The 24,425-nt window shown below is 36.2% G+C and overlaps 1 protein-coding gene across 2 annotated transcripts in view, besides 1 other annotated feature; it reads left to right on the top strand.

Moving 5' to 3' along the window:
* KCNH5 (potassium voltage-gated channel subfamily H member 5) overlaps positions 1–24,425 on the top strand; it is a 345,995-nt gene extending 321,570 nt beyond the window's left edge. For both annotated transcript variants that reach the window (NM_172375.3, NM_139318.5), the window contains one exon: positions 15,434–24,425. In NM_172375.3, coding sequence (NP_758963.1) covers positions 15,434–15,447 — 14 coding nt within the window. In that variant the 3' untranslated portion in view covers positions 15,448–24,425. The remainder of the gene's footprint in view (positions 1–15,433) is intronic.
* Positions 12,424–12,593: an enhancer, noted in NCBI's record as "experimental_34896 CRE fragment used in MPRA reporter constructs". NCBI's record gives its function as "activates a minimal promoter by MPRAs in K562 erythroleukemia cells, with activity observed for both the introgressed and non-introgressed 14:63178099 variant alleles {active_cell/tissue: K562}" and the evidence as "EXISTENCE:reporter gene assay evidence [ECO:0000049][PMID:34662402]".

Raw genomic sequence — 24,425 nt, 5'->3', positions numbered from 1 at the left:
AGACCCCATTCTCAATTTTGGACCTGGGTGAACACATGCTCATTCAATTCAAAATAAGCAGTTGATATCTGTTTTACATGGAATAGCTACACTATTCTGATAAAATAAAGAATGATTTACCTTAAGTAGATTTTTCTGTACACCTGATGCTTAGAAGGTCAAAGTGGCTTGGCCAAATTTATTCAGGTACCCAAACACTTGCCTCTTGGATCTCAGGGAATTCTTTATTTTTAAAAACTTTCACCCCACACTTTTCATCCAGAAATAACATACCCCATGAGGGATGTGAAGAGTGGGGTCAGAAACCAGAAAAAGTGAGTTCTAGGTCAAACTGTGAATGAATGTCTATACATCCAAGTGGCTAATCACTTTGACTCTCTGAGTTTCTGCTATCAAATACCACAATATTACAAACACTAAACCCCCAAAATATGTTATTTTATGTAAATTTGATTTAGCTGTGAAAAATTGAAATTGTAATGTATCATCTATTCTACATATACATTTCTAAGTCTTTCCAGAAGATAATACTTAATAGAAGATAATTCTTAATAATAGAGAAAGATTATTTACCTACTCAGCCTGTTTTTTGTAACAGTGAAGAATTTATGCATGTGTGTGATATTAAGTGAAAATTACATTATTCTTTTAGAAAGCAAATGTAAAAATTGACAACTATTTAAATACACATGCTGGACTTGTCTTTATAAATACAAGCTGTAGAAAATTTCTTTTATGGTAAAAAAAAAAATCTTTAAAGATATTGTATCTACCCTAGGTTGGTAATTGTTCCCCCTGAGTCACAGCCATTATCTTCCAAGGCGAGAGCTAAAGCCACCTGTGAGATGTGTTTCTGGGGACAATGGAATAGTCTCAAATGAGATCAGTAGGGTAGTGTATTTGAAAGTGCATTACAAGCTACAAAACAAAATTGTACATAGCATTAGCAGTGTCGATATAAAATAGTGGAAGGAACACTGGAGTTGGCAGTAGGAAACGGGTTTCAGTCAGAGCTCGGCTGTTTACTAGCTGGTGAGCTTAGGCAAGTCATATAACTTCTCTGAGCCTCAACTGTCAAATGGAAATAATAATAATTGCCCTGACTGATGTACAGAGTTGCAAGGGGAAAATGAGGTAACATGGAAGAGCTTTATAAAGTGTATTACGTTTGCCAATGTCAAATGATGTTATTTTTCACATACATACCGAAGAGTCCCAGTATATATTAATATGTATGTATTTACTTTCTGCATGTTAAACTTCCAGCATATGGAGTCATAACTTTAGTGATTCATGAGTAAGTGATTCAACCTCTTTAATCATTTAATTTCCTTTACTCCAGGCCAGTTACAAAAATTTAGTTCAAGTATTCTTAAATCAGAGTAGCCTAGTCCTTAAGTCCAATGAACCTTGGTTAGAAACCCTGCTTTGTCACTCTTCACTGTGTAGACTTGGGGAAGATTTTTAAATCTCCCTAAGCCTCAGGTTTTTTTTCATCTTTATAATGGATTATTATGAAAATTAACTGAGACAGTGATCCATTTGTAGTATTTAGTATAACTCCCCTAATCCTGGGAATTTTATTTTAATGTTCCCAAGATGAAAACATGTGAGAACAATCTGTATTGTAACTGGAATAATTATGTTTCAAAGACAATGTGGTCTAATGGTTCATTTAATGGCCTCAGGCAAGTACTGGGTGCTGTATTCTTACATTCCCAGCAGAACATGAGGGTGAGGGTTTTTCTTTATCATTTTGTTCAAATGAGCTTAGATGTGCTACAAATTCAACGCTAAGAACTTAGAATTAAAATGATGATATTCTTCTGAATATTTTTCCAAATTTTCAAATGCTAATGATTAGGTGGCAATTCCAGTGCTACTGGGCATTGACTTAAATTGGTTCCAGTAGTGGGCTTTCTCGCCATTTATTCTAAAATATGTGATATTGACTTAGCAGGAGTAGAAACAGGTAAGGAAATTAATATTTGAGACTTGGAAAGATGAAGACAAGTATTATTTAATAACAAAACATTTGGTATATTTTCTACCTGTGATTGCCTTCCAGTGCTATAGCTCTATTGGAAAAGGGTGGAAAACAATATTAGTAATGTTTGGGTTGTGGCTAGTTATGTTTAACATGGCACTAAATGAAAGAGGTGATGCCAGATTAGTGTTGGGTGGCTTGTATGTAGATATGGAAATGAAATTAGACTAGGTAGGAGGGAAATAAAAATAAAATTAAAATCCATTGTATTAAAAAAAATATGTTAAGAATCAGTTTGGGGGCAAAGATGAGATTAGGAATCTGACCTTTCCACCAAGCCTGAACCCTTCAATACAGTTGCCAATCTATTTGCCATAGAAAGAGAGAGAGAGAGAGAGAGAGCGAGTGAGTGAGAGAGAGAGAGAAAGAAACATGATGTCAAGAAAGCAAAAGATTAAATCAGACCAGAGAATTATATCTAGGAAAGTACTTCTTGTGAAGTTCCCAGAACATGGAATTGACTGTAAATAGATCAGAAGCTTACTAAAGTTTTTGAGAAAATTACATTGCCAAAGAAACCACAAGTTTGATCTTTAAAAATCTTTTTTCTATTAGCCCAAAAGCAAACTTTGGGTCCTCAAATTTGCACAGGCAGGAAGTAGCTGAGGAAGCCCTACAGTCCTAAAATAGGACAAATTCTCCAATACCCATATCAGATCTCACTATAGAGAAATACGGACAAAGAAGGACCTCCAAGAACATAGAATCAGGAGACACAGAGAACAATGGATGAAAGAGCTTATCCCTGATAGCTGACTAAGAGAATAATAAAGGAATTTATTCCACTGCCAGGGCAGAGGGAACCTCAGAATGCCTGCCTGGTAGATTTCATCACTGCTATAGACCAGTCCGCAGTCATCACTCTTCGCCATTTTTATGGGAGTGTTTAGTCAGTTATCCTATCGCTTCTTCACTTTTGCATACTGTGCATGTGTGTATATAGGTATACAGTGTGTGTGTGTGCATGCACGCGCATCTGTAATGGTGTGGATAACTTGTCTTTCTAGTTTATAGGCCACCATTCCAGGTACCATCTTGGAAAATGGCACTACCATTTGTCCTTCGGCTTAGACTAAAAAGAGTGTTGTTGTTGTTGTTTTTCCTCTGGGATTATTCATCCAGCACATCCACAAACCTGTCAGTTTTACTGACCAAATAAATCTGAAGCTGCTTCTCACTCCCTCCATTTCTATCTCCCTAATCTAAGTTAACATAATATCTCACCTGAACTACTCAAAAAGTCTCTTTTTTTCTTTTTTGAGACAGAGTCTCGCTGTGTCACCCAGGATGGAGTGCAGTGGCGCGATCTCAGCTCAGTGCAGGCTCCGCCTCCCGGGTTCACGCCATTCTCCTGCCTCAGCCTCCCGAGTAGCTGGGACTTACAGGTGTCCGCCACCATGCCTGGCTAATTTTTTTGTTGTTGTTTAGTAGAGACGGGGTCAAAAAGTCTCTTAATTAGTATCTCTTCTTCTATCCTTCCAACCTTTCAATGTGTGAGTGGAAGTGAGATTATGTGAGTCCTCTGCTCCAAATTTCCCATGACTTCCCCTCCCCTCACAGGTAAAATCTGAAGTCCCTGGCCACCTCTTCCACGTCCTCTCCAGCATTCTCCTCCTGTTTACTAAAGGCTACCCACTATATCTTCCTTAATGTGCTTGAAACATACAAAGCATTTTCCCACCTTAAGATTTCCCCTCTCTGAGCCCTCTCCAGGGCCCACTTCTTCATTCATGAATATCTCGCTCAAATATCACCTCCCCATAGATACTCAACCACTCTGCCATTCCCTATGTCCTTATACTTTATTTTTCTTTGTAGCCCCCTTCACCGTCAGACATCATATAAAATATCTCAGGATTTTTGCTTTGTTTACAGATATATTCCTAACTCCAAAACAGAGCTTGGAACATGGTAGATGTTTAACACATATCCGTAATGTAAATATCTTGTATGTGCTGCATCTCAGCACTTAATAAGAGGCACGTTAAAGTGAACTAAATATGGCCTGAGAAGGATTCTGTACTTCTGTATTTGAGTCCTTGTGGATGAACTGTAACGTAGCTTAATAGGTAGACAAGATTGAAAACCTGATTTAGGAGTATGTGCCTGTAACAATAGCTAAGTCTTGGCCAATCCCAGCGCCGTACTTCAACCGTTCATATGCTGCTGAGTCTTCAAACTGTTCAAGTAAGGGAAACACTGAGCTGTAACCAATCTAGCCATTCTGTACCTCACTTCCAAATTCTGTACATCTTTTCCTTTTTTTGTCTACAAATCTTCTTTCGCCGTGTGGCTGCGCTGGAGTGGTTGTGAATCCGCTGTGATTCTGGGGGCTGCCCAATTCACGAATCGTTCATTGCTCAATTAAACTCCTTTCAATTTAATTCGGCTGAAGTTTTTCTTTTATCAGGCATAAAGTAAGTGCTATTGGGGTATAGCATAGGATGGACCAACTCTGACTGACAGGCTAGTGAAAGCTTCCTAGCTGGCTTCATGGGTGTGCAACCTGTGCAGATATGCAGGGCCATGCACTTGGAAAGATCCTGCTTTTGGTGTAATGTTCTGTTTTTGCCATCTTGAAATTCTTCATAATTTTGAACAAGGAGACCTGTATTTTTTATTGAAGTATAGTTCCCATTCCATACAATTCACAATATTTTAAGTATACAATTTAGCATTTTTTAGTGTATTCACAAAGTTGGGCAACCATCCCCATTATCTAATTCTAGAACATTTTCATCATCCCCAGAAGAAACCCACAAACATTTGTGGTCATTCCACTTTCTCACTTTCCCTTATGCCTAGCAGCCATTTATATACTCTCTGATTCTAAGTTTGCCATTTCAAGACATTGCATGTAAGTGAAATCATTTAAGATGTGGCCCCTTTAGTCAGGTTCCTCTCACTTAGCATGATGTTTTCCAGGTTTCTCTACATTGCATTATGTGTCTATACTGTATTTCTTTTTGCGGCTGAATAGTATTTCATTGTATGGATACACTACATTTTTGTCAATTCATCAATTAATGAATATGTGGGTTGTTTCTACTTTTTGGCTATCATAAATGATGCTGCTGTGAACATTCATGTACAAGTTTTTGTGTGACTATATGTTTTCAATTCTCTTGGCTATATAGGAGTAGAATTGCTGGGTCATATGGCTACTCTATGATTTACTTTTTGAGACACTGCCAAGCTGTTTTCCACAGAAGCTATGCCATTTTACATTCCTTCCAGCAATGTGTGAGGGTTCCAGTTTCTCCACATCCTTCCGACACTTGTTATTTTCTGTGTTTTTTACTACAGCCATCCTAGAGGATGTGAAATGATAGCTTATTGTAGTTTTAATTTGCATTTCTCCAATGACTAATGATGAGTATCTTTTCATATGCCTATTGGCCATTTATAGATCTTCTTTCAATAAATGTCTATTCAAATTTTTTGATGATTTTAAAATTATTTTTCTTTTGTGTTTTTATTTCTGAGTTATAATAGCTCTTTATATATTCTGGATACTAAACCTATATCAGATATATTATTATTATTATATTTTAAATTCGGGGGTAGATATGCAGGTTTGTTGCATGGATATGTCGTGTGATGCTGAGGTTGGGGCTTCTATTGAACCCATCACCCAAATAGTGAACAGAGTACCCAATATTGGGTAGTGAAAAACCACACAATAATTAATTTTTTAACCCTTGCCCCCTTGCCTCCCTTCTCTCTTTTAGAGTCCCCAGTGTCTGTTGTTCCTGTCTTTACATCTGTGTGTACCCAATGTTTAGCTCCTACTTGTAAGTGAGACCATGCAGTATTTGATTTTCTGTTTCTGTGTTAATTTAGGATAATGGCTTCTAGCTGCCTCCATATTGCTGCACAGGACATGACTGCATTCATTTTTGTGGCTGCATAGTATTCCGTGGTGTATACCACCTTTACTTTATGCAACCAGATATATTATTTGCAAACATTTTCTCTAATTCTGTGAGTTGCCTTTTCACTTTGATAGTGTCCTTTGAAGTACAAGCATTTTTAATTTCGATGAAGTCCAATGAATTTATTTGTTCTTTGCTGCCTTGAGATTTACGTACCTATCTACGAAACCATTGTCTAATTCAGGGTCACTAAAATTTACACCTTTGCTTTCTTCTAAGAACTTTAAAGTTTTAGCTCTTGCAGTTAGGTCTTTTATCCATTATAAGTTTAATTTTGTATATAGTGTTAGGCAGATATCCACATTCATTTCTTGTTTGTGTATATGCAGTTGTTTCAGTATCATTTTTTCAAAAGATTATTCTTCTTTAAGACATCATTGAATTGCTTTGACAACCTTGTCAAAAACCGGTTGACCATAGATGCATAGGTTTATTTCAGGACTCTCAGTTGTATTCCACTGATATTTATGTCTATTCTTATGCCAGTACCAAATCCTTTAATTACTGTAGTTTTGTTATAAATTTTAAAAGTGTTAAGTGTAAGTCCTCCAACTTTGTTCTCTTTTTCCAATATTGTTTCAACTATTCTGGGTCCCTTGCATTTTCATCTAAAATTTAGAGTCAGTTTATCAATTTCTGAAAAATGGGCTGTTGAAATTTTGATGAAAATTGTATCAAAACTATAGATTAACTTGGGTAGTATTGCCATGTTAGCAATATTGTTTTCTAATATGTAAACATGAGATCTTTCCATTTATTTAGGTTTTCTTTAATATATGTCTATGTTTTGTAGTTTTTCTATGTGCAACTCCTACACTTCTTCTTTTGATAAATTTATTCCTTTTATTCTCCTTGAAGCTATTGTCAATAACATTATTTTCTTAATTTCATTTTCAGATGGTTCATGGCTAGTGCATAGAAATACAACAGATTTTTATATTGAATGTGTATACTGCATCCTTGCTGAACTCCTTTATCCATTCTAGCAGGTTTTTCATGTATTTCTTAAGATTTTCTATATGCATGATCATGTCATCTCTAAATAGAGGAGTTTTAATTCTTCCTTTCTATTCTGGATATCTTTTATTTTATTTTCTTGACAATTTCCTTGGCTAGAACCCCCCAATACAATGTTAAGTAGAAGTGATGGGATCATACCTGCGCCTCTCTTTGCTGATATTAGGGGGAAAGCTTCTAGTATTTTACTATAAAGTATGATGTTAGAGGCCCTGACTTTTTAATCTTGCATCGGGCTCTGAAAATTATGTAGCTAGAACTACCTTATAAAGAAGGACACAGTTGAGCTGAGTATCACAGGACAAGTAGGAGTTCTCCAGTGGGTGAGGAGGAAGAAGGGGAACAGTATATGCAAATATCATGAATACATGCTCGAACTCAAAGTGACTCAGTGTGGCAGGTGTGTGGAGGCCAAGTGAGGAGTGAAGGAAGCAGAGGTTAGAGAAGTAGGTAGGGCTGGACCACTGCTGGATTGCTGACTTCTTACTAAGGAGTTTGGATTTTATTCTGTAATTTTTAGACTAGTATACTATTATATTTTATATTCAACATCAAAGAGTAGAATGAAGAAAAACGAGACTAAAAATTGAGGCAAGGAGAGCAATTCATGGGCTACTGCAATGTTTGATACAGTGAATCAAAACCTTGTCAGATTAACCTTGGAATAGCTGTATTCTTGCTCTTGAAGACTTTGCTTTCCTTCTATATTTTTTTAAATGAAAAATTTGTACAAATAAAAACATAGGTATTGAGCACCATATTTCAAAGTTAGGCTAGCATTGATAAAGTTTACAATGTTTTGTTCATTGTGAAAAACATATTTTCATGTTTATGATAGCCTGAAGAATTGAGATAAATGATCTTTTACATGGTAAAGAAAATGACGCTTAGAACATTTCATTAGTTATTTCAGTAACTGTATTAGTAATCCTAGAATCTTTTGCATTTGCATCATACTAATCCTTCTTACATTAGGCATCACCTGCCACATTAGCAAAACCAAAAGATATTCCTTCCCTATCCCTCCTTTCCTCCCTCCCTCAGTCCCTCCCTCCCTTCCTCCCTTTCTGCCTTCCTCTCTTTTTCCTCTCTACCCATTTTCCTTCCTTCCTTTTTCTTTACATTTACTTAATTAATTAATTCTTCAAAAATTTTAGGACCTAAGAGACTGGACTAGATCTATAACACATTTTGTGCCCTCGGAGAGCTTACAGATTGATGAGTGGCTGAAGTAAACAAGGCTGCCACATCTCAAAACAGAGTATCATGCATCATTGTTACCCTAAGCACATCTAAATTTGTAGAATGGTCATTTGCGACAGCCCCATCACTGTGGCCTTCACTGAGAGTGTACAGCCTCTGATATATACATGGTAGCATTGAATAAATAATGCTTTGTTGTATTAGTTCACGTTGTCATGGATTGGAGGGCTAGAGTTAGAATTCGTGACTAAGATGATGGAAGCAGTAAGAAGAACCAAAGAATCAAACCAACTAAATCCCAGGAGAGTCAGATGAACCAGAGCTACTCACTGCTTGATCACATATAGCTATAAATTCCTAGTCGATTCACAGATCTAGAAAGTGATGAGCCATTTGAGAGAAAACACCTCTCTCTTTTCCTCAAATTATGTAACACTGAATCCATGACATTAAACAAATGATTCTAACCTTTTTTTTCTTGCCTTTATTGGATTTCAAAGTTCAGTACACATTCAAATTATTCAATTTTGATATCACTTTTATGATCAAATGTCCTACTTTTGAAATGGAAAGCTCAGTTGGCCATGTTCCCTGTTAAGTTTAAGAAGCTTTTATCACTTAAATAAATTAAACCTTCCAGCATGGATTCTGCAGAACATAATGAAGCACAGAGGAAAAAAAGCTTAAATGAAATAAACCTCTTTGCTGATAGAAACAGTACAGGTTATTGTGCATTCTACCAATAAATGTGTAGCTGGAACCGTAGCCTGATTTCTGGTTTTTAAATTTTGTCCTTAATTTTTATAGTGTTCAGCAGCAATCTGATTTGCCATTGGACAAAAGATGGACACAATGTACATGAAGTAAAAAGGGTCTAGGTTTTTAATACTGAGAATAAAACCAAATATTAGGTTTTTAAAAGCTGATTTCTTTTAATACTACATTGATAAGTAAGGATATATATTTTTCACACCATTTAATTCATACAAGTTGAACTCTTATGAACTCAAATCCTTTAACACTTTCTATAATAATTTCTTCATGGTTTAAAAAAATGCTTGTTTTCTAGAGAAAAATGATCATCTATATAATAATTGGGTAAAATTAAGCTATATAAATTACATATTGAATTAGCAGGAGACATTTTACTTTTTGAGTTACAATTTGCCAGTTGCCCATGAAAGATTCAATTGGATTATGAAAAATCTTACTGTTTATAGATTCTTTCAATGGCCAAAGTGTTGGGTGCAATTTTTAAAATGTAAATAAAAACACACCATTTTAAAGAGTTTAACTAAATCAAATTCATCAATGTTTCCACTATGTTAAGTTGAACCATTTTACTATATGCATGTTAAAAATAAAGCTAAAGGTAAAAAGCCCTTCTTTTTAAAATTTTTATTTATTATTATTTTTGAGACCCAGGCTGACATGCAATGGCATGATCTTAGCTTACTGGAACCTCAGATTCCTGAGCTCAGGTGATCCTCCTGCCTCAGCCTCCCAAGTAGCTAGGACCACGGGCATGCACCACCATGCATATCTATTTTTTTTTTTAAATTTTATTGTAGAGATAGGGTCTCCCTGTGTTACCCAGGGTGGTCTCAAACTTCTGGGCTCAAGTGATCCTCCCACTTTGGCCTCCCAAAGGGCTGGGATTACAGGCATGAACCACCATGCCCAGCCAAAAGGCCCTTCTTAAAAGGAAACATTCAGTAGAATTAATTTGAGAATACTCATAATGGTAATGTATAATAATTACCATGGAAATATAGCTTTCTTGGTAATAAATATTCAGTGTCACTCAAAATTGGAGCTTAGGTCATAAAGCTGTCTCTAAAACTGTAAGGACTTGTAGAGAGGGCCTAATTACATTTAGTGTTTTTGAAATACAGTGAGTTACTTATATTAGGCATCCCTGATGTTTTATCTTTTTATTTGTTATATTTGTACATTCTTTTAAACTTAAAATAAAACAAAGAACTATCATACTTTGCGTACAAGATATGGATCAGCTGGTGGTAGCACCTTGTGAATTAGTGTTTAAAGTCCATAAGCATGATTAAATCACCTTTTCATTTTCATTTGTTTTTAATGAAGCTTTCCATTTCAAAATCAGTGCCTATACTCTCTTACCTTGCAGTAGGAAAGAAAATTTTGTTTTCTCATAAGCTAGAAAATGAGCTTCTAGTGGATATTACTGCATCCTTGCAATGAAATCAAAGCAGGTTCTGATTCAAGACCTTTCAATGACTGATTTGTGGGTCAAAGATTTGAACCTGAGTCTACCCAGTATGCATTTGCTCAGTAGTTGGGTAGGTTCTAGGAATGCCAGAAGGCAAATGATATAGCTCCTGCTTCCAAATGAGGAGTAGACATTAATGATCAATAATAATAATAATAATATACAGATAGCACTGATTCTTTGTTTAGACAGTGGAACATAGTGAAGGAACTATAAAGTGCCCTGCTTATTTGTAACATTTTCCATTCCTAGACGCACCACGTCATACATTTGCTGAATGTATGAAAAGGTTATTGAACTAATGCATAACATTTGTTTATTACAAATGTTACAAATGTTACAGACACTAGAGATATAGCAGTTAGCAAAGCAGACAGAAATCCCTATTCTCGTAAACAAATGATTTAGGTGTAAGTGGAATCAAGGTTGATGTCAGAGTCCAGGGAAAGTCACATTCTTTGACCCTCCCTGCTCCCTGCCTTCCATAAAGGTAGTGTATTTAATATATGTAGAAGAAAGTTAAAAACAAAACAAAACAAAAACACAAGGTGTCCTTGAAGGGGACCAGAAGCTGCAAAATGGTAGCATGTGTTTAAGCCTACTGGCTCTGCTTTGGAGAGTAAGGAGAGTCTAGAGACTGCCTCGCACAAAGCTCTTTCAAGGTCTAGGCTACCGCTTTCCCAGCAAGTATACAGCTTCAATTGTGTTCAATTCACTGCTTTCAGGGATGGTTCTCCATGGCAAACGCTCTGTGAAGGGTGACCTGCTGGGTGTGAAACTGCTGCACGACTTCCTACTTCACCCATTCATCTATCCGAGTTTTCACGGAGTCCAGGAGAAAGTATAAAAGTTACCTTGAGGAGCAGGAGAGTGGAATGGTTAAGACTGTTTGGAATCTGACCCCTTGGATTTGCATCCTGGACACACAGTTGTGTGACCTAAGGGAAACCACTTAAACTCTTTATGCCTCAATTTGCTTCTCTGTGATAAAAGAATAATATGACCTGTGTCCTACAGTAGAGAATAATAGGTCCTAGCTCGTAAAATGTTCTCATTCCATGACACTTAAATGAGAAAATACGTGTGTGGAAGTGACCACTTTGCTATATACAGATATTTTATTATCATTTTACAATGCCATTATTTTGTTCCATAGTCAAAAGTAAAATAAAACAAATGTCAATTTGTCTTATTCTAATCCTATAAAGTCAATTCAAACTAGTATTTTTTTTAAAAAAAACTACCTCTTAAAAACCTGGATATAATAAGTAGTTGACCAAATCCAAGTGTTACTGTTTGCGGTTAGGTGTCAGTTCCAATTGTATAGATTGGGTGATAAATCGCCTCATGACCCCCTCTTTCTAACCTTCCTCCTGCACCTGCTTCTCCTCTCACTGGGCTGCAGATTGTCAGCAGGCCCTGCTGCTAAGGAGAAAGGGGGATCTACTTCAGGACCTAGGGCTTGTGTCTGAGATCTGGAGGGCCTGTAGCCACTCCTCAGAGTGTTGGCTTTTGAGCTAGTCACGTCCAACTGCTGGCTCTCTTTATGTGTGGCATAATTGATGGCCTGAAAGTCCCTGGTGGCAGATCACCTACAGGGTGCAATAACCTTTCCCACCTCACACAGTGCTTTTGCCTTGCCTGGCTTCTAGCAGACTGAATTCACAAATGAGTACGTTCAGTGGCTTCCTGAGCTCTAGGGGATCCTAGCCAGTACCCCTCTGAGCTATAAAGGAAGTGAAGGGCAAGGAGCAAAGAGGGGAACTTTGGCTCTCTAAAGAGCATGTTTTTCCGCTGTGCATTGCTGGCTCCTGAGATTGGATGTGTAGGTCCTGCTGTTCTGCAAACTTGATGACAATTCAGGACCAGTCTTGTTGGTCATAAGTACCCTCAAACCTCAAGGGAGCTATGTTTAAAATTACTTAACTTCCTATCTCCCGGGCGTAAAAAGGGGGAAAGGAACAATGTGCAATACTCAGAATTCTGTCATCTAATGTACCAGAGCTCGATTCTTTCTCTTTCCCAGTTACTTTTACATTTCTCGACAGCAAAATACAGATCCAGCTCTGTCTCATTTGTCCCCTAGTATAGGTGAGAAATCAAGCCCTGTGCCAAGACCCCCTTTGCTCTATGTATTTTGGTATTTGGAGTCTTTGTTTCTAGCTAAATAGTAGCAATTCAAACACTTTTGTTTGTTCTTGGTTGGGGGTGGGTGGGGGGCAGCTGGTGGTCAAGGAAGCTGGGAAAGATTTATTTTATTGATATTTTACATGGACATGTTACAGTCTTACAACACAAAACACCCTGAACTTGGTAAGCACACAATAATTGCAAGCAATTATTAGCCATTATATTCAAAGATCTAAACAAATAAGGCTCTTGCCTAAGGTGCCCACAAATTCTCAGATGTCAGTAATACCAAATCTTTCATTATAGTCTCTGCATGGCAGGACATGTAGACATTACAAAATAGGAATGTCCTTGTCTATTATATACCAATAGGGTTGCCAAATTTAGCAAACAAAAATACAGGACTCCCAGGTAAAATTAAAATTTGAATAAACAAAGAATATTTGTTAAAGGATACATATGTCCAATTCAGATTTATAATGTCTGATGTTTTTAGTATGTCCCAAATATTGCACAGGGGACCTGCATTTTACCTGACCTTCCTGTGTGCCTACCACTTGTCACACTCCACTGACTTTGAAACGGTTCCATTTTCCCAAATGTGAAGGCTGCTCTCAGTTACCACATCGAGCCAACACTATGTCTATCCTAGGCTAAACAACCACCTTAAAAAAATAAAAAGGGTAAGTGGTGAGTGGGAAGGGGGATGTGGAAAATCATTCATATTAGGCCTCTCATGTCCACCCATAGAATCAAAGTGAGTACTTTTTCAAAAAGGGGCTGAAATAGGAAAATAGTATCTGCGTTCCTGTGTCTGGGTCTGTCTGGTTCTAAAGAATGTTCATATCTTGAAGACTTAGTACAACCTATGTTTACTTGGGAAGCATAAGAATTGTGTCAACCCTTTGAAAGACTTCTAATTAAACTGCTGGAGCTTTGATGTCAGAATTTGAGATTATTATTACATATTTTAAAAAGACCCAATTTCATGTGCCACTAACAAGAAAAAATATGTTGGCCTTTACAGACAGTTACTGAATTTATTTCAAAATACAAATTAGTACCACTCGATAAACTGAATTTAGTGCATCAATCTCATTTTAGAAAATGTACTCTTACCTGGAAGGGGAATTCCTATCTTTCTGGCTTTTCTGTTAACGGTGACCATCAGTAGTATTGGTTTTTGGTGTAAAATCAATGATTATATGTTACTCCAGGCAGCTGCTGAATATTCAAAAGATAGTAAATGGTTTCAGATAGGAGTATTTTATGAGAGTTCAAGGAGAGAGAACCAACGTATGCTGAGTGTCTGTTATGGGTTAGAGAACACGTGCTTCACATGTGTTTCTACTCTAACCAACAACCTACAGAGGGTGATCAAGGTAAGTTATTTTCCTTGAGTGATAAAATTGTCTGATTCTGAAAGTGCCTTATCTAATATAACTCTTTTTTGATTTTCCTTACAGCCTTCACCTGCAGTTACTTTGCTTTTCAGGACTCTGAGCAAAAATCTCACACTTATTAACTTTACTTCCAACTCTGATAATATATGTGGCAATTTCTTATATAGCCAACATTTTTTATTTCTTCTGATGGGGTTATCATAAGTTCTTCCCATTATTATCTTCAAAATACATTTTAAATAAAATGATGCTCATTTATTTGTGGATATCTAACCCCTCACCTGTACTATGTATTTAATTTTATGTTTAAAATGTAAAGAATCTGGGAAATTGAAGAGTTCAACCTCCAACCCAGTGAACATGTCATATGGAAAACATACTTCTATCTTAACCTTTTAGTGGTAGAACGATCATGAGTTTTCGAGGCAGTTTATTCAATAGAGAGCAGTTTGCAATGAAGTCTGTGTACTAAGCTGGTGTTACCTCCCGGAAACTTTTCCTCACAAATTCTAGTTCTGCCTTCTAGGGTCGCATAAATCAATTTAAATTCTCCCCTCACCCAACCCAGATGCCATTTGCTAAACTGTGTAAGTTTTCAGTACACTTATAGCCTGGAATTCTTACTATCTGATACCCAAACAGAGGATAATTTTTTTTTTTTTTTTTTTTTTTTTTTGAGAAGGAGTCTCGTTCTGTCGCCCAGGCGGGAGTGCTGTGGCGCGATCTCCGCTCACTGCAAGCTCCGCCTTCCGGGTTCACGCCATTCTCCTGCCTCAGCCTCCCGAGTAGCTGGGACTACAGGCGCCCGCCACTGCGCCCGGCTAATTTTTTGTATTTTTAGTAGAGACGGGGTTTCACCGTGGTCTCGATCTCCTGACCTCGTGGTCCGCCCGCCTCGGCCTCCCAAAGTGCTGGGATTACAGGCGTGAGCCGCCGCGCCCGGCCAACAGAGGATAATATTAAAAATGGTTTTGAAACTTATTTCTACACAATAAGGAAAATCATACAAAAGTGGCAATTCATTACAGAGAAATTTAAGGGATAAATATGTATTTCCTTATATATGTATACACATATATACATATACAAATATGTATGTGTGTATGTATGTGTGTATTTCCTACTAACGGCAATATAAGGGGAACATAAACTAGAAGCAAAGTACCTCTCTATTCAGTTGTCTCTTGAGTAATTCTCCCTCTGATATGTAGGGGACTAGAACTAAGTAAGTAAGTAGCCAACATTTCTATGTTGGGTTTAAGCCATATTGCATCCATAAATTTCATAAATGCAATTCCATAAATGGTATTTAAATTTTTTTTTCTTGAGAAATAATCTTATCAAATATTCAAGGGTTTTCTTTGTAACACAAAGCACATACAGCATAGTATTATACAACTGTTAATCCATCTGCTTTTATAATCAGGCTGTGACTATCTCTCCCGTTCCACAGATCATCTTTCGTAAGATCAGTGATGTGAAGAAAGAGGAGGAGGAGCGCCTCCGGCAGAAGAATGAGGTGACCCTCAGCATTCCCGTGGACCACCCAGTCAGAAAGCTCTTCCAGAAGTTCAAGCAGCAGAAGGAGCTGCGGAATCAGGGCTCAACACAGGGTGACCCTGAGAGGAACCAACTCCAGGTAGAGAGCCGCTCCTTACAGAATGGAGCCTCCATCACCGGAACCAGCGTGGTGACTGTGTCACAGATTACTCCCATTCAGACGTCTCTGGCCTATGTGAAAACCAGTGAATCCCTTAAGCAGAACAACCGTGATGCCATGGAACTCAAGCCCAACGGCGGTGCTGACCAAAAATGTCTCAAAGTCAACAGCCCAATAAGAATGAAGAATGGAAATGGAAAAGGGTGGCTGCGACTCAAGAATAATATGGGAGCCCATGAGGAGAAAAAGGAAGACTGGAATAATGTCACTAAAGCTGAGTCAATGGGGCTATTGTCTGAGGACCCCAAGAGCAGTGATTCAGAGAACAGTGTGACCAAAAACCCACTAAGAAAAACAGATTCTTGTGACAGTGGAATTACAAAAAGTGACCTTCGTTTGGATAAGGCTGGGGAGGCCCGAAGTCCGCTAGAGCACAGTCCCATCCAGGCTGATGCCAAGCACCCCTTTTATCCCATCCCCGAGCAGGCCTTACAGACCACACTGCAGGAAGTCAAACACGAACTCAAAGAGGACATCCAGCTGCTCAGCTGCAGAATGACTGCCCTAGAAAAGCAGGTGGCAGAAATTTTAAAAATACTGTCGGAAAAAAGCGTACCCCAGGCCTCATCTCCCAAATCCCAAATGCCACTCCAAGTACCCCCCCAGATACCATGTCAGGATATTTTTAGTGTCTCAAGGCCTGAATCACCTGAATCTGACAAAGATGAAATCCACTTTTAATATATATACATATATATTTGTTAATATATTAAAACAGTATATACATATGTGTGTATATACAGTATATACATATATATATTTTCACTTGCTTTCAAGATGATGACCACACATGGATTTTGATATGTAAATATTGCATGTCCAGCTGGATTCTGGCCTGCCAAAGAAGATGATGATTAAAAACATAGATATTGCTTGTATATTATGCAGTTGACTGCATGCACACTTTACATTTATTTATAATCTCTATTCTATAATAAAAGAGTATGATTTTTGTTACCCAAGGCAATGTAATATTTGAAGAATCAGGGTCCAACCTGCCAATGTTGCCATGACAAATTTGATCTCAGGCTGAGTATGTATATCGAGCTATCATTTTCTCACTGTTCTGTTAAGTTAAAAGTATAGATTAATGCCAAGGAAGAGTTCAGTCTTTTAAACTATTAGTACCATGTTATGATCTCTTTCCATAGGATATTTTTCTGTAACTTAGTGTTAGGTTCTTTTCCCCTACAGGCAGTGTTTGCTCCATTTAAATGACTGTTTAGTTGCCTAAGTCAGATAAGAGTGTGGGATATTGAAAACTTATTGCTATGGGTTTTGTGCATGAATTACATTTTTGATCAACTATACCTCTCGTTTTTTAACATTATACTTAGATAGTAATCATTAGCTCTTATGTAAGGAAATCCCTACTCCCTCCTTCTTGGAGAACAGCTGCCATCTTGTAAGCTGACATTATCAACATCATAAATACTAAACTATTAATATAGAGTATGTTATTATAGAAACACTGCACCACAGGGTATAAGGGCCTTTTGACAATTCATGTAAGAGATGCTGAATTTCCAAAGCTGATAAATGCTCTAAATTTGTATTTCCAAAACATGTTCAAGAGTGACATTGAAAGGCTTGTTAGCAAAGAAACATACAAAAAATAAAGCATTTAAGTAATCATATCAAAATGCTAACTATTATGGTATAAAATAAAAAAGAATGTAAACAGATAGATAAATTTTTGTGGCATGTATATAACTTAGAAAGAATGAAACACTGGTACGGATTGTTGACACATGAATCCTAGTGTTTGTAGTGATAACACATGAAATGTGGTAAAACAAACAAACCAACCAACCAAGAAGTAGACATTAAGTTGCTCGACTCAGATAACTGCTTTTCTATCATTTTATTGTGGTTATAGTTTTTTAAAGCTTTTTGCACACAGTTCTACTGCTGGACTTCTGCTGAGTTGATTCAATAAGCTATTGTGGCTCAGGCAGGTCCATTTGTGAAAGGGGGATACTAAAGACTGAATTTTAGTCTTTTGAATTCAAATCCTCTTTGTAGAAAGTGCCTATTATCAAGTTTTTAAAAAAAGTCACAAAGAGTTGTCCTGTATATAGCTAGTCCCTTAAATGATAAGGATTGAGAATAAAATACACATTCACTTGTAAGAACCCAGGAGAACTTATTTCTTTTGACTAAACTGTATTTTAGGAAGTCGTTCAGGGAAGCATACTTTTCAGTCAGTGCATGCACAGCATTTAATATGGGGAGCAGGGGAGTTAGTGTTTGCATGAAGTTGAAAAAAATGTGTGAGTAATTTATATATTACGGGACCATCTGTACATATATGTTAACAATATGCAAAAGATGATGGCAAAATCGAAGGAGATATCTTGATCTATTATACCCATTTGTATGAGCTTTTCTATCTCCCAGTATTCCCAACCAAAGCCACTAGAACTGAAAGACATGTTATCACATTCAGACTTGAGAAGTGCAAAACAGTGATTTATAAAAACAGTTGCTATTTTAGAATTTCTATTGAACTTCACATGCCCACAAGATGTGCCTCTTTAATCTAGGAGTCTCAAAACATATGAGCCATGGGCTCCATTTTCCTTTCTTTATGCGTATAACTTCCATTAACCATAATGGAAGTTTTCAGGGGAACACGTCTCCATGTAATGCTACAATATCTACCTACCACAAACACAAGAAAATGAAATAATTATGGAGTAAAGAATCAGCCTTGAAATTGGAATTTTGTTGCTTTCATGGTGAGGATGATATCTTTTTCGTGACCTCTGACATTTATTGAATTTCAGGGTATTTTTCTATTTGTTTAAGTCAAGTTTGGCTTAAGCTTTTAAAGGTGAATGTGTGGTTAAAATAAGAATCTGATTATAGAAGTTGTTAGTTTAACTTTAGCCAGTGCTTCAAAACTAACTATTGGTGTAAAGCTATAAAAGAATGACTGTGAACAACATGATGATTTGAAGTTCTAATTCATGGCTTTGCATATTAGTGGTGCAAATATTTACTGTGTTCTGACATTGACGTAGAGTTTCACCTAATCGACCTACAATGTTATTGTTCATATATGTGAGAAACATAATGGTTTTGAATTACTCCAGATTGTTAGGAAGGAGGGAAAGTATCAATTGTTTAATTATGGTGCAGTTATCATAGTGTCTTTTCAGCCATCTCTGTTCTCTGTGTGCATGATATGAAGAGGTGCTGAATGCACCCTGCTGTTTTCAGCAGGAATGCATGTTTTCAGCAAACATTGTATATAGAGTAGTCTTTTAGGTTCCCAGATTCCACAAATCTTAGCAGTTGAATTTACTCAGATTTGAATGAAGGGAGAATATTTGCTTTAATACATGCAATAATGATAAAATCATGTTCTATGTTGCCTCAACTAGCACATAGACAGTAGATGCTCTTTTGAGGACCAGATAACTGCATGTTTTATTCCTACACTGTATAGATGCTCTTGGTGCATCCAGAATAAAAATTTTAATATTATATTTCTAAATAATATATTAATAGGAGTAAATGGATATGTATTAGAAATCCAAACATTTTCCAAAGCAATTTACACACCTTCAATATTTTTCTATGATGTTATTAATAGGTAAGATCAGATGCTGTATCCTCGACAGGTGGTTGTAACAAAATAGCAAAAGTCAAATTAGAATGGAAATGTGAGTGATGTATCATAATGGCAGGTTTTATCAGTCTGTATCAGGATATTGTTGCACTAAATGTGATCTAGCAGATGGAAGAGATTATGATAAAAAGCAAATAGGCACACAAAAGCCAGATGACAATACCAAAGCTATATGAATGGTACTGAAAATGGTTCAGGCACAGTGGTTGAATTGAATGACGTGGTTGAATACAGGCCCATGCTTCATTGTTAAAATGGAAAATTTTTATGACACTAGTTGCATCTTGCATTAAGTATAGGACTAAAAATGTCCTAAGTATTTTTTACAAACAACTTTATGTATATCAGAGAAAAAAATGGAAAATCTGGGGTTTGAAATTGCTCTAGAAAAAATGTGTACTTCTGTTGTACTCAACACTTTAATAGGAAAATTAGTTGTGACCGCTAACTAAAGTACCATTATCAAAATTAACCTTATTGGAGCCCAAATGAAAATCACATTTTCCCTTCTGTTTAAGGAGATTTTGTTCACCCTGTGATATCTGGTCCATTTGATATCTTATTTTAAATAGCTAAAGTCATTTGGAATTTTTTTTAATATTAGCCTTCAGAGCAGTGACTGTTTTGAAGTGTGCAGTGGCAGATATTTGTGAAATTATTCATCATATTTCTAATGAATTCCACTATCTTGTATAATTTTTATCTTTTAAGCAATTTTCTATGAGTTTGTTTTCCAAAATTCCATGTAGGTAATGAGAACATTTATCTAGAATGTGCATATCATACATGGATAACTTTCAAATATGAATATTTTATAATCATGTGAATGTTGTGCTATAATTTTTTCTATTAGGTGTAAAAGTATTTCTCTTCTCATCTTAATGGAAAGGGGGAAAAGACAAAAACAGTCTTTTGGAAAACACCTTAAGTCTTAGTATCTGAGCTTTGTCTTGTGTTCTGAATTTAGCTTTACCACAAACTAGAAGTGTAATTATGGGCAAGTTAACCTTTCCTAGTGTACCAAATGGTACCATTTCCCCGCCAATAAATAAGAAAACAAAGATAACAGCTGTTGCTTCCTTATATCAACATGCTATTGGTCAATGAAAAAATTATCTTTCTTGCAGGTGAAAATCACATTATGACAAGTGATCACTTTTTCATTCTTTCATAGAAGAGTATCCACGATGTACTCTCTATCAAAATATTCTTCTAGATTTTAGAAGAGATTTCAGGGATTGACGGTGATGTGATTTTTATCTAAATATTCTTTTAGGTTTTAGAAGAGATTTATCTGGTCAGAGGTTAATGGAGAGAGGCATAGTTTGCTAGTGGCAGGTAAGCATAAAACTTCATACTTATGTGGGAATTTAGAACTACAAATCAAATAAACGTGGAAAGAATGAAGCTCCTTTGACAGAAGAGAGAGAGAAGAGAAAGATAGGTAAATTTTGTGATTTTTCTTATTTCTACTTAATCATACTGCTTGGCAGAAATTCTCAATTTTGTGAAAAAATTGGTAAGTGGCCAAGGTATAGAGTAGTTCACCAATGTATCTATGTAACAAAACTGAATGTGTACCCCTTAAATTTATACAAATAAAAACTAGAGTAGTTCATCCTTCAACTTTTTATATTAAAATAATCATGACCTGTTCAAGATATATGATTCCACATGGGCAGACACTCTTATAACAAAATTCTTAACTATGTGCTATGTGTTGTAAGTTTTGGCCTATATTCTGACTTGAGATTTTCTATCACTTCATTTGTAGGATAAGACCCCTGTGTTTGCATTCTTTATGAGGGTCAGGACCACTGAGGATTTGGACTGGGAACTAGAAAGATGATGAAGGCAAGGGTTGAGAAAAGACTGATTAGAATCTATCTGCTTCTTTACTCTTAGGCTTAGAAGTTAAATAAGTTAACTAAGCTTATATTTACCAAGGTCTCACTATGATAAGCATTTTATTTAGGTTATCAAATTTAATTCTTGCAGCAACCCCATGAAGGTATAGGTTAAGGAACTTGTCCAGGATGGCATACTTGTTACATGGTAAAGTTGAGTTTCTAACACAGGCAGTCAGACCTTAGGGAGAAACCTTTATTTTGTAGAATACTGACATTACAAGAACTATCTAGTTCAACCATCTAGTCTAGGTTTTTCCAGACACATACTTTTAAAGATTTCTTAAAATAATTCTTAAAAATTGCACTCGATAATGTGAATGTAAATGTTTGGTTTTTCTTGATAGGTCAGAGTCAATGACAGAGTTTGAAATCATACTGTCTTAAGCAAAAGGTGCCCTGTCCCAACAGTGGAATTTTCCTTTACTTCTCCTAACAGTTGAAAGACATCGGCCAAAGTAAACTGTCAAATGTGGTATGTTTGATATATGGTCACTGGTATCAACATTTTCTTTTCCAGTTGAATTTTAACCTAAAGAGGTAATGCCTAATGGTTAAGGAAAGCAAGAGTCATTCAGGATTTTTTTTCTATAATTTCTTTTTCTTTTTAATAGTGGGATTTGGATGAGACTCCAGAATTTATTTTTAAAATTTATTTTTTGACTCATTGGGTTTTAAGTAGATTATTCAGATATTTTTATTGATTGCACTGATGTTGGCTTCTTGGCCAAACCACTATTAAATACATTATCCAAATGAACTATTTCTGTTTAGAATGGCAACTTGTATCCTTATTTCCAAAATTAATGAGCTCACAGTATGTATATTTACTTCAGAGAGTTTCAATAATTTTCTCTAATGAAAAAATGTTAATTTTCTGAATGTGATTTATTTGTTCTACCCTTTGAGATTTCTAAAGCAAGTGTCTTGAGATAAGGAGAAAAAAACAAGATATTACAACACTACATGCTGGAATCTTCAGCCCAAACCATCTTGTTTTCACTTGGCTAATAACTGAGCCAGAGGTAATCATAGAAAGGAAGAATCCTACTTTTAAAATAATGACTGTGAAGGACCCCACTGACACCATCCAAAGCTTTTTATAGTCAGCTCACTTCCATCCTGGCTTTTACATTACCACTGCATGATTATTTAAATGAGGTCATGTCTTGTACTACTTGTAAAGGCACTTGGTCAAAGAAGAGTAAACCAAAAAGTGCAGCTTATGACCAGAGTTATAACTGAGGAAAAAGGAGTGTGGAGAAGGGACAGCAGTTGCTTCCTTTTAATGAGTTTTCTGTATGTGGTGCCTTTTAAATAGCTTTTGTTTATTTGTTTTTAAGATGACACATTGTCATTAAGGTTTTAACAAAAACCTTTGGAAGCAGTTTGAAAGCTTGTCAAATGCTGGGGCCTTCTTTAGAAATAAGTGTTCTCCCACCAACCAATGAGTTTAGAACCTCTGGTTCTGACCTACAAACCCAATCCCCTAAGCACTTGGCTGGTTGGGCTGCATTTTGATGGGAGGAAACAAAAAGATCTGATCACTCTCTCTCATTCATGCGGAATCACTGACTGTTGAATGACCAAAGCAGTCAAAGCCAAAATATTCACCTTGAAGCTTCAATAAACCAGATTGAGTATCCATAATAACTAATTTAAGTAATTTTATCCCCATTCTCTGCTAAATCATATTTCATAATATAAAATGTAACCACTTCCCTCTATCCAAAGCTTTTGGTCAGACTCTCCATTGAGTTAGAGAAATTGGACTTTGGCAAAAAGCAACATAAAGATTATTGTTGTTCCTAGAACCATTGTTGCCATGGACCCCTCATTTGCTCCTCAACTTTTTCAACCAAATTATAGCGGGAAAGATTCCTGATGAAGCCAAGACTGCAAACAGGAAGAATACCTAGCTAGTAAACTATGCAAAATCACAACAAAGATTCATTTATAATTCCATGTTACAGTGTTTGATAGTCCTAAGTATTTAATATTGGTATATTATGTCACAGCCATGAACTGTCAACTTACACAAAATCCAAACGCACTTTCATTTAAAATCAAGATTAGCCTATTTCATTTTCAGGAAAAAACAGTTGTCAGAATTGCTTTTTTGACCTCTGCAGGGATGTTTTCACATTGCTATTCTTATGACCCTTTATCAGAGAGGGAATAAGTGTAGTGTTCACTTTCATCTCCTTAGGGTTGACTGCACCAGCATCTTCCATCAAGCAGTCGCCTTCCACCTTAGAACCTGTTCACAGTTAATAAAGCAAGGGGGAATATGCATTTCATATTAGGAACAGATTTCTTAAGTGATTGTTATGAAAAGTGGAAACCAGTTTAGAACCATTTTTTTACCCTAAAACATCCATTGTAGTTTGTTGAAAGAGCAATGACTTTTAGAAGTGCTTGGTACTCAAACAACACAAAATGTGCAGATTCACGATATATTGAAAATTATAGAGTTCTTTTTAGTCTATGTTCTAGTGACTTTGTTTACACTAGTTGTGGCATTTTGTATACTACAATGTAAATTCTACTATAACACTAATGTTACTATGGGAATTAATTTTGCAACTTCTTAAATGTTTTTGTCACTGCAACCATATTGGTGAGATATTGGGGGTATTAAAAATGCCTCTGCCTTTAAGGGTTAATTCACCAGAAATAATTGATTCATGCATTGACAAAGGAAACAATGCAAAAATTTCATGTGGGATGTTTTTAATACCATTATGCTAAGCAGTACTTGTTGGCTTTTTTCAAAATCTGATTCATGCTAAGCAGATCCTTTTTTCTACTTAAACAAAGATACTGCAATGTATAATATAGAAATTTTGTATGTACTGTTGACCTATCACCTGACTGCTGACAGGATGTGTGAAAATATTTTAACTTTGTGACTTTAGGGTCAATTATGAAACAATTGTGATCAAAATTCAGTTGCTTCTGGGAAGTTTGTGGTGATTATCACTTTATTTAACGTTTGTTCTCAAAAAATGGTCATTTTGAAAAGTGAATTGGCAGGTGGAAGCTTTTAGCCCAAAAGAAATCTGGGTTTCAGCACAATAAACTGTATTTCATCAGGGAGGACTAACTTTGCTTTTTTTCACACTTTATTTAAATGTGGATATTTTTTCATGATACAGAATAAAATGTGCATTTTATGGAA

The sequence above is a fragment of the Homo sapiens genome, chromosome 14 (genome assembly GCF_000001405.40).
Source record: "Homo sapiens chromosome 14, GRCh38.p14 Primary Assembly".
Classification (NCBI taxonomy): Eukaryota; Metazoa; Chordata; class Mammalia; order Primates; family Hominidae; genus Homo; species Homo sapiens.
The sequence above is the reverse complement of the archived record's forward strand: the minus strand, read 5'-3'. Positions and strand labels throughout refer to the sequence as shown.